The sequence below is a fragment of the Homo sapiens genome, chromosome 8 (genome assembly GCF_000001405.40).
Source record: "Homo sapiens chromosome 8, GRCh38.p14 Primary Assembly".
Lineage (NCBI taxonomy): Eukaryota > Metazoa > Chordata > Mammalia > Primates > Hominidae > Homo > Homo sapiens.
In genome coordinates this window covers 29389399-29405834 of record NC_000008.11, presented here as the reverse complement: position 1 = coordinate 29405834, position 16436 = coordinate 29389399, and positions in this window count along the sequence as shown.

Here is a 16436-nt window from a genome sequence, read left to right as displayed (position 1 = left end):
AAAAAATGATCAACGTCACTAATCATCAGAAAAATGCAAATCAAAACCACAATGAGATACCATCTCACACCACTCAGAATGGCTATTACTAAAAAGTTAAAAAACAACAGATGCTGGCGAAGCTGTGGAGAAAGAAATGTTTATACAGTGCTGAGGTGGAATGTAAATTAGTTCAGCCCCTGTGGAAAGCAGTTTGAAGATTTCTCAACTACCATTCAACCCAGCAATCACATTATTGTGTATATACCCAAATGAATAGAAATTGTTCTACCAAAAAGACACATACACTCGTATGTTCATCACAGCACAATTCACAATAGCAAAGACATGGAGCCAACCTAGGTGCCCCCCAGTGGTGAACTGGATAAAGGAAATGTGGTACATATACACCACAGAATACTACACAGCCATAAAAAAGAACAAAATCATGTCCTTTCCAGCAACATGGATGCAGCCAAAGGCCATTATCCTCAGTGAATTAATGCAGGAACAGAAAACCAAATACCACTTGTTCTCACTTATAAGTGGGAGCTAAACATTGTGTACTCATGGACATAAAGATGGCAACAATAGACATTGGGGGCTACTAGAGGGGAGAAGGAGGGAGGGGGATAAGTGTTGTAAAGCTGTTGGGTACTATGCTCAGTACCTGGGTGACGAGATCATTCATACCCTAAACCTCAGCATTATGCAATATACCAAGGTAAGAAATCTGCACATGTACCCCCTGAATCTAAAGTAAAAATTGGAAGTATTATTATTATTATTTGAAACAGAGTCTCACTCTGTCACCCAGGCTGGAGTGCAGTGGCACGATCTTGGCTCACTGCAGCCTCTGCCTCCTGGATTCAAGCAGTTCTCTACCTCAGCCTCCCAAGTAGCTGGGACTACAGGCACATGCCACCACGCCTGGCTAATTGTATTTTTCGTAGAGATGGGGTTTCACTATGTTGGCCAGGCTGGTCTCGAACTCCTGACCTCAAGTGTTCTGCCCATCTCGGCCTCCCAAAGTGCTGGGATTACAGGTGTGAACCACCATGTCCAGCCAAATTGAAATTATTAAAAAAAAAAAAAAAAGAGAGAGAGAGAGAAGGCCAGCAATGTTGAAAGGGCAGTTCTGTTCTTCCCTGGACCACTGGTCACTGATAAACATCAGGAAAAAACAAAGGGGGATGAGATGTTATTCAGATTTTTCAAATTACTGGTCTATGCCATGGGTATAAAAGTAAGGCAGCTTAATTCAGTGTAACAGCATACATTAATCTGAAGGCACACAGACCTTTGCCCTTCAGAATAAAGTTATCTTCTCAGAGTTATATTGGTTAAACACACACAAAATACATTCCTAAAAATAACACAATTTTCTGTAAAAATATGGCTGAACAGCTTTGGGAAAGCTAAAATATAACCTTGGCAACTTAGATATGGTCTCAGATATATGCTTACTAAAATATGAGTCTAACTAAAAAGACAAAGTCTCATTAAGTACGTTATATCCCAAAGGAAGGGAAATGGTAAACACGTGAAACCTGACTAGGTGGAGAAGGTGGTGTTAAAAACAAGAGTCAAGAGTATGTCAGTGTTGATCAGTATCCAGGAAGAAAGCCACTGGGCCCAGGTGACAAGACCGTTCTATTCATAAGAGATCTCTATTCCATTGCAAGGATAGGTATTTTATCAGAGTGCCTCATGCTGAAAATATCCCTTAAATCATCTCATTCATTTCAGCACTTTTTGTAATAGCAAAAGATTGTAAGCACAGACATGCCCATCAAATTATGGTACATCCCTACAATGGAAAAAGTAAGATATCGTGGAAAGATGCCCAAGATATAATGTCAAGTGAAAAAAGTAAGACATATAACAGTGTATGCAGAGTATTGCCATATGTACACATAAAATGCAAGTGGAAGAAACAGACACACGTGTATGTTTCCACACATATAGAATATCTCTGTAATGAAGCATGAGAAATTAGGAACTACGGGTAGGAATTGGAGAACTGGAGACAAAGGGGGAAGTATGATTCTGTTTTCACTGTATACCCTTTGTACTATTTGAATTTTTTAGCATGGGCATGTTTATTATTACTATTTGAAAATAATAATAAATAGTAAATAAAGAAATAGGTGACAGATAACCTGTAAAGCTTCTTTGGTTTTGTTTTTACTTAAGCAAGTCTGCTACGCACACATGGAAACACTAGAGAACAATGAAGGGGTAAATAAAACTGGATATAGATTTTTAAATCCACCTCTTTTTCCTCTGATTCTAGTTTTACCAAGGCCCTTCCTAAAATTATAATTGGCTTCACACATATATAAGTCTACATGGAGAAGATGAGCTGGTTAGTGAACTGTCCGCTGGTCCTCCTGTGGTTGCATTTCTTATTCTAAATTGATAATATCCTCTTGAGACTTTTGACCATTGTGATGATTATGTTTCTCTTTGCCTAAATCAGAATATCTGGATTCTGAAACTCCAACCAGAAGACCAGATCCTGATTGGGGGATCTGCCCTTGAGGTATTACTGGTGAGGTCAGCAGGTCTAATCCATGACAGGACATGGCCGGCTGATCCAACTGGAACACTCCATCCACCATGGAGGTGGAAGAGACAGGGCAGCTCCGAAGCCGTATGCTGGTGTCAGCCTCCACCCCCCGTTAAGGGGATCCTCCTTCTCTGCTCTAGAAGATCTAGCCCATCTCCAGGAGGAGAGGGAAACATGCACATTTTGGTCAATATCCAAAGGTTCTGTACCTCATTTGAAGGCTGAAATATTAGCAAAGGACTGATTAAGAACCAAAACAAACAACAACAACAACAACAAAAACCCACAGAAGCAGCAAGCCTGAGCTATTTTTGAGTTCTTGTCATTAGAAATGATTTCATCAGCACTCGGCTGGCGCCGAGGTCATGATTTACACGAGGCAGGCAGCCTCCCTGGGTGGGAGCTCCTTTTTAATAAATGATAGTGAGTAGGCTTAATCCGACCTGTGACTATGAGTCACTATATTTGAAGCTGAATGATAAACCCCATCAGGAACAGACAGATGACCTTGTCCAGGGGACTTTTTCTTTCAAGAAAAACCAAATACATTTCCTGACAGTGACACGAAGCACAAAAGTCTCAAATCAGATCAGTGAGAGTGGCGTGGGCCTGTGAATTGAGAGGACCAGACCAAATCGTCGCCATGGTCCCCCTTTCCTCCCTCCCCAGAGTCTGTGATTCACTGCACTGGGGAACTGGGTAGGAGGAACAGCATTTAATTCAGACTAAAACCGAGCTGCTGTGGGAGAGAAGGGCAAATTACTTTTTGAAAAAAGTTGTAACCCTGTGATTCCTGCTGTCACTAATAATCCTACAAATTAATAACAGGCTGATCGCTCAGCCACTGGTTTTGGCTTCCGGTTCCCTTTGATTGCTACAGAATGCCTTTTCCAAGAGTGAAATGGAGAGGAGGTTCAAAGGCACCCAGGACACCTATGATGCATCAGGGCCATGGGCCAGGGACATGAAAGAGGAAGTCTGTGAGCCCCGACAGAGGTAGGAGGGCGAAAGGCCATAAAGTCACCTCCTTGAAGGACATTCGTGTTCCATGGTCTATGAGCTGCAGAGCACAGCTTGGGAGGTGCTTAGGCAGGCTTCCTGGAGGCCGTGTCAACCTGCCCCCTCCTTCTCTTCTGCCCCATCTGTTCTGCAGTTTTGCCTCTTGCTGTACCACTCTATCATCTAATATTCAATTGCAGGGGAAGGAGGAAGAAGAAATAAGATCAGAAATAAATAGGAGTGGCTATTTCTCTCTGATAAAGAGAGGGAAGAGGGAGGGAGGAAGGGAGGAGAAAATGGTAGAGATTAGAATCTGAGTGAGAAGTCAGAAGTCCTAGTCCCAAAGGAAAAGATAAAAGATAGTGCAGTTAGGTCAGCCCAACATAGAGTAAGCCAAAATACACTTTATTTCCAGTCTTTTTGTTCTTCTTTTGACCCCTAATTGTTGCATGCCTCTCTCTCTCTCTCTCTCTCTCTCTCTCTCTGTGTGTGTGGCGGGGGGGCGGGGGGCGGCGGGCGGGGGCGGCGTTGCTTGCTTAAATAAACAAGAAAAGTCTCTGGAAAAATACATAAGAAACTGATAACACTGTTTGCTTCCAGGAAGGGAACTTCTTGTACCTTCTGAATGTCAAGTGAAGTGGAAGTACTACCTATGCAATCGATATATAAATAAAATGTATAAAAAGCAGAATGGTTCTCAACTCGTGGGATAAGGACACAGTGGTCCGTGTCTTAGAAGTAGTGAATGTCAGGTTGTAGGTGACAATTTATTAGTGAATGAAACATTTCTAAATGATAATCACAATGGGAGATCTCACAATCTCACATTCACACACACACCACTTCCAATATATGGCAAAGAGGTTTTAGTTTTGAATCGAGAAGATGTAAATCTTGTTTTTGAGACAGTGTCTCGGTGTCGTCCAGGCTGGAGTGCAGTGGCGTGATCTCAGCTCACTGCAACCTCTGCCTCCCGGGTTCAAGCAAGTCTCCTGCCTCAGCCTCTGGAGTAGCTGGGATTTCAGGCATGCGCCACCATACCTGGCTAATTTTTTTTATTTTTAGTAGAGACAGGGTTTCACCGTGTTGGCCAGGCTGGTCTCGAGCTCCTGAGCTCAAGTGATCCACCTGCCTGAGCCTCCCAAAGTGCTGGGATTACGGCGTGAACCACCATGCCTGGCCGTAAATCTTTAATAATACTTCTATTTTAATAATTGTTAAAATAACACATACCAAATATAGAAAAGATTTTTAAATATTCTTTAAAAAATAAAAGTAACTTTAATCCCATAACCAGAATTAGTTATTTCAAGTACTCACTCTGCCCAGACAGGATAGATGGATATCACAGACCATTCATTGGTCATATCTGACTTAACCTCAATATGAAATTGGCCCAGAAAGAGATAATTTCTTTTTAAAGAATCTGCCAGCCTGAATCCATAGCTTGATATTCTGAATATTCTGAATATTTTTTATTTAGCATCCTTCAACAAATAGAGCTACAATTTTTTAGCTGTCTTGAGGTAGGCAAATATCTGTTTTTGGTGTTGTTTGTTGTTGTTGTTTGAGACAGAGTCTCCCTCTGTTGCCCAGATTGGAGTGCAGTGGTGCAATCTCAGCTCACTGCAATCTCTGCTTCCCAGGTTCAAGTGATTCTCCTGCCTCAGCCTCCCGAGTAGCTGGGACTATACGCGTGCACCACCACACCTGGCTAATTTTTCTATTTTTGTAGAGACGGGGTTTCACCAGGTTGGCCAGGCTGGTCTCGAACTACTGACCTCAAGTGATCCACCTACCTCGGCCTCCCAAAGTGTTGGAATTACAGGCATGAGCCACTGTGCCTGGCCGAGGTAGGTAAATATCTGATTCCCGCAGTACAGGAGATTCTCTAAGATCCCCTCAGAAAGTAGACTTTTCCTAATCTGGATGGATTGAGGTCAAGCTTTTCCAGAAAAGAAGTGGTCACAGTCAACCATACCAACCATAGGATCTTCCGTGGCCCACTGCTGATGGAGAAGTTCCAACCTTGAACAAGGTCATCTGCAACCCTTCACTGCCAGTTGATATCCACTCAACACTCCCTCCAAAGAAAGAAACATTCAGCTTATTTTACTGCTTTATATCCCTTAAGGTAAACTCCCTTTGGAAGGCTAAAGGAAATCCAGGGATGCCACAAGCAGAAGCAATGCAAAGCGTATTGTTTAGCACTATTTGAAGGTGCAGTCCCCCAGTACATCACACAAAGTATTGATAGCATTTGCGAGAATTGGGCTCACTTTCCTTTTTATCACTATTTGGGAAAGTAAACCCATGAAAGGCAAGGCTTTGGAGTCAAATAGATGAGGACCCAATTCCTGGTGCAGCCAATTATTTAACTGAGACTTTGGGCAAGATTTTTAATCTCTTTAAGTTTCTATTTCCTCATCCATGAAATAAGGATAATAACGCCTTCCTTATAGAGTTTTTGTGAGGTATAAATGAGAGGATATAAAAAAAATTAACCCAGTGCATACTACGTGGTGCACTGAACAACTCTTATCTGTTATCATTGTCCACATATTGTGGAAAAAAGGGTGCCTGTCTCGTAGGTGAGTAAACACTACTCAAAGTTTCCAGGGACTCAAACTCTTATATTCTATGCCTCTGGGCTCTAAAGCAGTTGACTTTTTAGAGCCAGCAAAGTAACAGCTGGTATCTTGGGCTCCATCTAGTTCTATCCTAAACTCCTATACCCCACATCCCATAAGAGAGCTAGCAATACATTCACATAAAGGAATGAATTTTATCATTTAGGATTTAAGTGGATCACGGGTAAGCTGTCGTTAAGAGTACTCTGAACAAATAAAAAGTTGTTGGTTTTAACATCTTTTTCTAAAACCCCAAACAGCCTGGGAAGCTTTGCAAAGAGAATGCAGGGATTTAAAAAAAAATCCCATTGGTCGCATTTAAAAATCAAGGGCTACTAACATCAGCTGCCATCTTCCCCAGACACAAAGAGGGCATCTCAGCCCCTAAAGGACTGAGCAAGTGACTTCAGGGGACTTGGGAGTTCCCACTCTCTCTTTTCTACATCTTTGTGCTGAAGGTCTCAAGGTCACAGAATTTATAACTTTTTAAAATGACAAACAAAGCACATTTCCTATATTCCACAGCAGTGAAAAATGTCAGCATATAAGGCACTTGTGTTCAAAATGAACATTTTCCCACCGATATAAAGAGAGAGCAAGGCACATTGGCTAAATTCCAACTTGCTTGATATGTTCTGTAAATTCTTCCACTCTGTTCCTGAAAGGAGTCCATGAGAATATGTACTATACTCCCACAGCTTTTCCCTTTTTCCCTGTACCTTCATTCCCACCCCACCCCTACCAAATAACAATAACTAAGAAAAAAAATTAAGATGTCTTGCATTTGTGTGATCGGTTTTTGTTTAAGTAGGTTATATCCTGTTTATTTTATGAGTAGAGAAATTAGAATGAAGTAATTCAGGTCATTTATACGAGGCATTGTTGTACTGAAAAATATAAAGACTATAGGACCAAAAGTTAAGTTCTACCTTCAATATTTCAATGTAAATTGAATGACTTAAGGACACACACACACAAGCCAAAAAAAACCAGTATATCTAATCCCAGTAAAAATTTCTTTTTAATAGAAATTAACATGAATCTATAAGCTATGAGTCAGCTACCTGTAGGAAACCTGTTGAGAAGGCACAACCGGTACAAGGGAGAAGGGGCAGAATCCCAGGTGATTCCTCCATTAGGAGCCAGTGACATCCCAGCGTCATATCCCTTGGTAGTGTGACCGTACAATCCATTTGCCAGGTACAATCATGGCTTATGCCTGCAGCCCCAATTTAAAGAAGGACCCCTCCTTCACCCTACTGATGGGGAACATTATAAAGGTGTCGAACGTTCCATAGGGGGGTGACAGAGAGAGGATTTGTTTCTCAGTGCAGACAAAATATAGGTGAGTTGATATTGCGCAGAGAATGATGAAAGGCATGAACAGCAATAGAGCAGAGCTAATGTTGCACAGGAAAGGGTCTAGGAGGGTTACTGTCCCACAGGGCCATCATAGCATGTTATAACCCTTTGCCCTTTGAACTCTGTGTGTTTTGTGCTTTGGGCATTTACAGCATTCTCTGTCATACTTGTAGCTTTGTGTCTGTATCCACACAGAGAGTATTTCTTCTAATAAGATGCAGATTCCTTATGGAAGAGATAATCCTTTTTTTTCTTTAGTATCCTTCACCCCACAGTGACAGGAAGAGGTTTGTATGCAGAGAAGCAGGTAATAAGCTATTATGTCTCCCATCAGAATGTTGTAATTGAGGTTGTTCACTGCCTACCATTTCATACTGGTGTCTGGGCACAGAAGCCAACCGCATTTCCCAGACTCCCTTATGGTTCAGAGTGTCATGTGACTCAGTTCTCACCCAACAGACTGTGAATGGAAATGACATGTGTCACTTCTAGGCTTGAGCGTTAGAAAGTGGCCATGCCTTTTCTGAATTATTTTGTCTTTCCTACCAGCAAACCTACTCACCACCCAAGCTTCAACCATGTAGCAATGACAAGACCATAGTTGATGGTGGAGTAACCCAGTAGAAGGAAACTGGGTCCTTGATAGCTGGTGTGGAGCAGAGCTGCCTGCCAACTGGAGTGTCTCTTTGGACTATTATATGAGAGAGGAACACAGTTCTAACTTTAACCACCAAATTATTGCTGAGTCTCAATTACTATAGCTAACCCTAAACCAACTCAGAGAAATACGAACTCCAATAGGTCAGGGATCTTACCTGCCTTGTTTATACCTGGCAGAAATAGGCATTAACAACTATTTGTTGAACTAATAAATGAAATCGCCCCCCAGAAATGTGAATGAGGAAAAATTTATGGATGAGACTAATAGGCCCTTCCTAGATGTCACTAGGAAACTTACGTAAAATGGAAACATTGCTAAGCACATTATTAGCTTAGAATTGTAATTTTTAATTGTGAAAATAAAATAATATGATGAAGTTGAGTATTGAAGGGAAAAATCTGGACGTACTGATTGGCCCATTCTTCTCCAACACCATTAATAGGAGACAGTCCCTGACCCAGTCTGCTTGACATATATAGCTGTGTAGAGAAGAGAATGAAGGATAAACCTAGCACAGATTGATGAAAACATGCTAATATTATCCAACTCTTTTTGTTCTGCTTATGATTTCACTGAGTGATCTTCCCATATTCTTTGATTTTCTAAGCAAACTTTCCCATTAGAAGATGAAGAAAAAAAGAAGCACTTATTCACCACTGCATATCAGATCAATTGTTACCTATATTCATGTATCGGTTAGGATCAACTAGGTTCTGTTGCAATAACAAAAATTCTAAAATCTACATGCTATACTGGAATAAAGTTTTAATTACTGCTAATGCTTACATGTCCATTATAGGTTCATGAGTAGGCAGTCTATGCTCATTGTAATGATCCAGGGACCTAGGATGATAGGGTACTCACTACCTCAAATGTTGTCAGTTTCTGTGCCGGAAGGAAACAGAGTGAGTTGTGGAGGGTCTTGAACCAGCAATTAAATGTTCCAGCTAATGTGACAATTGGCTTAGCTTGCTGGGGACTGTCCTGATTTAGCACTGTAATTCTCACATCCTGGGAAACCCCTCAGTCTCAGGAAACTAGGACACTTGGTCACCTTCGCTGTAGCCCAGATGTGACATATCACATTTCTACTCACAACTTAATGTCAAGACCCTGTTGTGTGTATCCTCTGCCCAACTACATGGGGGCCGAGAGGTACAATCTGAAAATGTGCCCAGAAGTAGAAAGAACCAGAAATAGTTGACAAGCAGTATGAGCATAAACTCTGATCATAAATTGGTATTCTGATTTATAAATCACTCTCTCATGAATTTATTTTTTTACTCCTTATTTTTGATTTCAGGGGAACTTGGCTATATGAGTCAATTCTGAATTTCTATCTCTATGCTAAATTATGCAGGAGCTGTAGAGATAAGTAAGCTTTAAGTCTTGCCCTCAATAGAGTTTTAAATTAATAGGGGAAAGAAGATACTAACATTATAAGATGAATGCAAAAGTACATAGAAAAGGCTGAGATGTTAACAGTAGAGAGGAATCACACCCAGTTGAAAAGTCAGTCAGGCGAATAATTCAAAAGGAATAATATTACCCCATATGATAGTATTCATCAGAGATATCAGCACACAAAAAATCAGAACCATACCATCAAGCCCTCCAAGAAACCTTGCCCAATTATCAAACCCTCCACCAAATCTTCCAAATTTAAGACTATTAAAACTGATCCCAAAGGCTGGGTTTGTTACTTACATGTTATTATCCTAGCCTTCGTATTTTACAAACCTTTGAAAAAAATTTATTTTCACTCACTCAATACTTATAGCACGCTATGTCATTTTACCAGTGTTATTTTTGCCATCACTTTTAGGAAATCTCTGCATTATTCTAAAATTCTTCAATAACATCCCTATAAGTGAAAACTGGCATTGATGTGTGGGGATGTTTTGTTCTCTGATAATTATTCTTAATAAAAATGACGAGTCTGTACACTGCCTACTTGCAGTTGACAGGGGAGGTGTTGTGCATGTTACCACAATTAACCAACTAGTGACTTAGAAACAGATTTAAAAGAAAGAGATGTCAACCGGCCTTGGTGGCTCATGCCTGTAATACCAGCATTTTGGGAGGCCAAGGCAGGAGGATCACATGAGGCCAGGAGTTTGAGACCAGCCTGGGCGAGAGTGAGACCCTGTCTCTACAAAAAATACAAAAATTAGCTTCACATGGTGGCATGTGCCTGTAGTCCCAGCTACACAGGAGGCTGTAGCAGGAGGATCACTTGAGCCAGGAAGGTTAAGCCTGCAGTGAGCCGTGTTCCTGCCACTGCACTCCAGCCTGAGTGAGTAAGCAAGATTCTGTCTGGAAAAGGAAAAAAGAGAGAGAGGGAGGGAGGGAGAGAAAGAGAGAGAGGGAGGGAAAGAGAGAGAGAAAGAAGGAAAGAAAGAAGAAAGAAAGAAAGAAAGAAAGAAAGAAAGAAAGAAAGAAAGAAAGAAAGAAAGAAAGAAAGAAAGAAAGAAAGAAAGAAAGAAAATGTCTTCATGTTCCTCTCTGTGTGGGACCAGGAGGGGCTTGCAGTAATCAGGCAAGATTTTCTACATTTTCTATCAACAGATCATTGGTGGAAGGCCCTTTTTCCAGCCAGATTTTGGGAATGCAGTCCTGGAAAATGGCATCTGCAGTGGGTGAGGCTCATGGCCCTGTTTGCAGTTTCCTCCAGGATCTCAGGAGAATCTGTCACCCAGACAGGCAACTAGTACTTGAAAGTGTTTCCAGTTCTTCCACAGCTTTCAGGCTGCAAACAACTGTGGAATGGAAATCTGTTGCACAAATTGAGAAAGGGCCAGATGCAACCCGATAAAGGGATTTAAACTTTTTTGGGAGCCTCGTGTCCCTCAGCGAAAGGCAGTTGGCAGTCTCCTGCCCCCATCTCACTCCGTGTCCTCCCTCAGTGTCTTTCTACTCCCAGACGGTCATTCCACAAGTCCCCCCAGTCAGCTCCCCTCCAGCAACACAACAATAGCATAAACCTGGACTCCCAAAGGAGATGAGGCAGCCTCTGTATATATGAGTCTCATTATCCAAAAGCTTCAGGGAAAATCCTTCATTCACAAACACTTACTGGCCCCTACTAGGGATCAGACACTGTGCGATAAGCCTGGGGCACAAAGATAATCAAGACATGGTCCCTGACACTAGAGATCCCTTCAGACTTACAGGATAGACAGAAAAACAAGTGAGTCCAATGTGGAAAGAGCTATAATAGTGATGCAAACCAAGTGCCAATCCAGGAGAGGAGTGGTGTTTGACCTAGGTCTTCAAAGATAGTGGAATGGTAACTGAGAAAGGGGCCCTTCTTGGCAAAGCAAATAGCATGGAGGTAGAAAAGAGCATGGCATATTTGAAAAGCTGCAAGAAGTTTGGGATGGTGGCAGTACCAAGGGACAATGAGAAGGGGAAAAGTTTTTTCATTCATTCAGCAAATATTTACTGGATGTCCTGCTGAATCTCATGTTTGGTGTTAGAGATATAACAGAGAATAAGACAAGGCTTAGACCTTGAGCTTCTAGTAGAAGGAGATGGTCAAGAAACGAGCAAAAAAATAAAGACGAATTTCAGGCCGGGTGCAGTGGTTCACGCCTGTAATCCCAGCGCTTTGAGAGGCCAAGGTGAGCAGATCACTTGAGGTCAGAAGTTTGAGACCAGCCTGGCCAATATGGTGAAACCCCATCTCTACTAAAAATACAAAAGTTAGCCGGGCGTGGTGGTGCATGCCTATAATCCCAGCTACTTGGGAGGCTGAGGCAGGAGAATCACTTGAACCTGGGAGGCAGAGGTTGTACTGAACCAAGATTGCACCACTGCACTCCAGCCTGGGGTACAAAGTGAGATTCCGTCTCAAAAAAAAAAGAAAAAAAAGATGAATTTCAGAAGGAGATAACAGCAAGAAAGATAATAAAACAGAAAAATGTGAGGGCGATGGAAAGGGACCGTTGTTAGACAGCGGTGAGAGATGGCCCTAATGCAAGGAGTGCACATTTTGGCTAGGAACCTGATACAAAAGAGGCAATGACATAACGTCATAGGGAGAGAGATTCCAAGCAGCCTGAACAAGCAAGTGGGAAGATGGTGGAGTGAGGAAGATGGTGGAGTGAGGAAGACAGTGGAGTGAATAGCCTTGCCCACTATGATGATTGCTTAGAAATTCAAGGTCTTATTCATAATTGGCTCATCAATGGCAAAAAGAGTGATAATTTTGGAGGTCTATTCAGTTGGTGGCCCTATAACATACCCAGAACATATACAAATAATCTCTAACAGGGCCGAGCAAGGTGGCTCACGTCTGTAATCCCAGCACTTTGGGAGGCTGATGTGAGTAGATCACCTGAGGCCAGGAATTTGAGAGCAGCCTGGCCAACATGGAGAAATCCCATCTCTACCAAAAATACAAAAATTAACCACATGTGGTGGCGCACGCCTGTAATCCCGGCTACTCAGGAGGCTGAGGCGAGAGAATCACTTGAACCTGGGAGGTGGAGGCTGCAGTGAGCCAAGATCGCACCACTGCACTCCAGCCTGGGGGAGAGAGGGAGACTCTGTCTCAAAATAGATAAATAGATAAAAATAAAACCCCTGACAGAGCTAAACATCAACCTTCTAACACCTAGGTACTTAAAATTCTTATTTGAAGAATTTTCTAAAGAAAATGCTACCACCTATGCAGCCACTCAAGAAAGGAGGTCAGTGCTAATAAGGTATAATGTAAAAAGGACTAAAAAGGAGAATAATCATTCTATAACCCAAGCAGACGGAATCTTAAAAATTGTCAAATCTAACCATTCCCCTAAAACCCCATTTCACAGATGGAAAAAAAAAAGGATCAGAGTGTTCAAGTCACAAACTAAATCAATGGCAGAGCTAGAACCAGATAGGACCCAGGTCTCTTAACTTCCAGGTTTAATTCTCTTGTTAGTTTGTTTTAGAAAAACTCAAGCACTTAAGCAACATTAACCTACCGAACTGAACTAAGAAAGAACATATACTACTCCCATTCATTTCCATTTAAATAGAATCACCAACAATAGCAGGGCACAGAAGAGTTTATCTATGAACAGACTTGGACTTTATTAGATAGACTGTATCTCTCTTTCCTCTGCCCCACTCCCACCTGCAAGCACAGAAACAGCACCTGCTAGCAAGGACTTTGGAGAGTGAAGTTTTACTGTGTACTCAGTTTCAGAGGTGGAAAAATCAACTCTAAAATCAATAATCATTTTGCAATCAAGTAGGAGACCTTAAAATGGAAGTATTTCTTACTCTTGGGGAAGGATTCTCTCCACCGTTTTCATCAGACGGTAGTAGCCACAGAAACGTACTTTCCTTATACGAGTTGAAAAGCCATTTCCAACTTCTCCATATGGAAAATGAAGAAAATATTTTGCCTTGAGAAACTTTTGGCATTTTCCCTTCCTGGTTGTGATCCATGCAGCCTGAGAAAAGCCAGTGTCATACATACTATTTTGGTAGATCTAACGCCAGTGCTGAAAGAAGTAAAATTAACTACAAGTGAGGGAGAGAGATTCAACTGTAAGTTGTGTTCGAACTGGTTTCCATTTGTTTTTGCGGTGGAGAGGCAGTCTTGGTTCCTGCACAGGCTTTTGGGTTATTTCATAAATGCTCTCCTTCGAAGCCCTGTGAGGTTCTTCTATGTGATTAAAGTCACCAAGAAGTTTTATGATTGAAAACTCCCCTTGGCTTAGGATTTATTTAGATACTCCTCTGACATGCTCTTGCTAACTCTGTAGCTCCGGTGGGAATTGTACAAGGAAATTTACTCATAAGTCACGAAACCAAGCTAATATGACAAGCAGAGAAGAGCCATCTGGCAAATTGTTTCTAAAACACTTTCCTCATATTTGTTCAATCCTGTTTCCCTGCAAGGCATTTAACAAAAGATCCAGCATACGCAGTTAAACCAATTCTGAAAGTTCCCCAAAGCTTTTTGGGTGGGTATCTAGGGTGAGAAATTATTTAAAGACTTCCAGGTATAAAATAAAGTCTTAAGAATAAAGACAGAGTCCTCAGTGCTGGGAGACTTAATTATGGAATTGTGAAAGAGATTTGGGCATTATGAAAGGGTCCAGAGGTTTCTAGGACTCCCAGTGAGTGATGAAACAAAACCAGCCTTTGGTAGATTGAGTGCTAGACTGTACTTCCCTTGAAGTTCACAACAGGCCCTGAATAAGGGGAAAAGAAGGCTTACGGGAGCGCCACTCCCCCAGCCTTACGAGGCAGAACCAGCATTTGCAGCACATCATTCTACCTGAGTGAAGAGGGATGAAAATAAAAAGGTTCCAGGCTCCCATTCCAGCCAATAGTGGATAGGGAGCAGAAACCATTAGACAAGATAGAATCAAGCTCTGAAAAGTCTTTAACTAATAAGGTACCAGACCTACTCCATTTCAAAATGCAAAAATGGTTTACATCACTCTAGATACCCTGTTTAGGCCCTGGGACTCTGAAATGCTTACAGCCTTCAAACGGGTCTTGTTTTAGCATCTGATCATTAACAAGTACAATCCCCCCTCCACCGTTTTTTAGAGATCATGTCTTGTTCTATTGCCCAGGCTGGAGTGCATTGGCATGATCGTGGTTCAACGCAGCTTCTAAATCCTGGCCTCAAGCAATCCTCCCACCTCAGCCTCCCAAGTAGCTGGGACTACACGCACGTGCCTCTGCTTCTGGCCATGCAGTCCCCATTTCTTACTTTGGTTTTAATTCATGGCTTAATTAGTGAAGTCCTCATTGACTCTTCTGGTTTGGAATACCAAAGTTGAACTTCACCCCACACCCCGCCCCTGAGTTTGCCTCCCCTATGTCTCTGCCCTTTCCTCCCCATACCTCATTCCAGCCTCACCTCAGAAACACAGGTGTGGACCTGTTCCCAGAGTCAGCTGCTCTGACCACTCAGCAGCTGACAGCACGAGCTGATGGTGCTGACAGCTGTTATTACCCAGAGCTCCTAAGGAGAGATGCCAGAGGTAGAGACCTGCCAAGCAGGTAAAATTTGTTTAAGCAAAGCAAAGTGAAGAATCTACAAAACAGGAGCCTCTGGCCCAGGGTGAATGAAGGGTTTCAGCAGAGTCCCCAGCTCTCATCTCTCCCCTACGTGTGGGAAATCCCCAGGACTGCTTGATCACGCTGACCATTCCTGGATTCTCTCCACTCAAAGGTGAGCGGTGAGCCTCATGAATCTATTAGTGCTGGGAATACAACAGGAAAGGGTGCTGGTTATATGTTCAAGTGTCCACTGTCCCAGAAGGAAGCAGTCTGGCTTAAATTCTCATATCAAGGACCGTAAATGTTCCTACTTCAATTTCTCATCTCTTAGGTAGAGATGATCAGAGCTCACCCCACAATCCTCTCTGCACCCACTCTCTCCACAACTTTAGGCCTGTCACCCTTTGGAGAGGAAGAATTTACTTTTTAAAGAAAAATATCTATAAATAGGATAACTGGGAGGAATTGGAAAGTTTTAAAATTGAACAACTTTGTTTCAAATAAAGTGACCAATTTCTAGACATTCTTATACTGGCCTCCCAAGACGGCTTGATACGTAATATGCATCTTGACAATGTATTTTTCCAGTAGCTATCTACACATGCATTGTCGATTTTCTTTTTTTTTATTTTATTATTATTATACTTTAAGTTTTAGGGTACATGTGCACAATGTGCAGGTTTGTTACATATGTATACATGTGCCATGTTGGTGTGCTGCACCCATTAACTCGTCATTTAGCATTAGGTATATCTCCTAATGCTATCCCTCCCCTCTCCCCCCACCCCACAACCATCCCCAGTGTGTGATGTTCCCCTTCCTGTGTCCATGTGTTCTCGTTGTTCAATTCCCACCTATGAGTGAGAACATGCGGTGTTTGGTTTTTTTGTCCTTGCGATAGTTTGCTGAGAATGATGGTTTCCAGCTTCATCCATGTCCCTACAAAGGACAACTCATCATTTTTTATGGCTGCATAGTATTCCATGACATGCATAGTCAATTTTCTAATTACCTATTTTGATAAGGGTTAGGGATAGTCTGATGACCTAAAACTTTAAGATTGAGTAGTGCTCTAACTTATTTTCTTCCTTTTTTTATTTTTATTTATTTATTTTTTTTGAGACGGAGTCTCACTCTATCGCCCTGGCTGGAGTGCAGTGGCATGATCTCGGCTCACTGCAGCCTCCGTCTCCCAGGTTCAAGTGATTCTCCTGCCTTA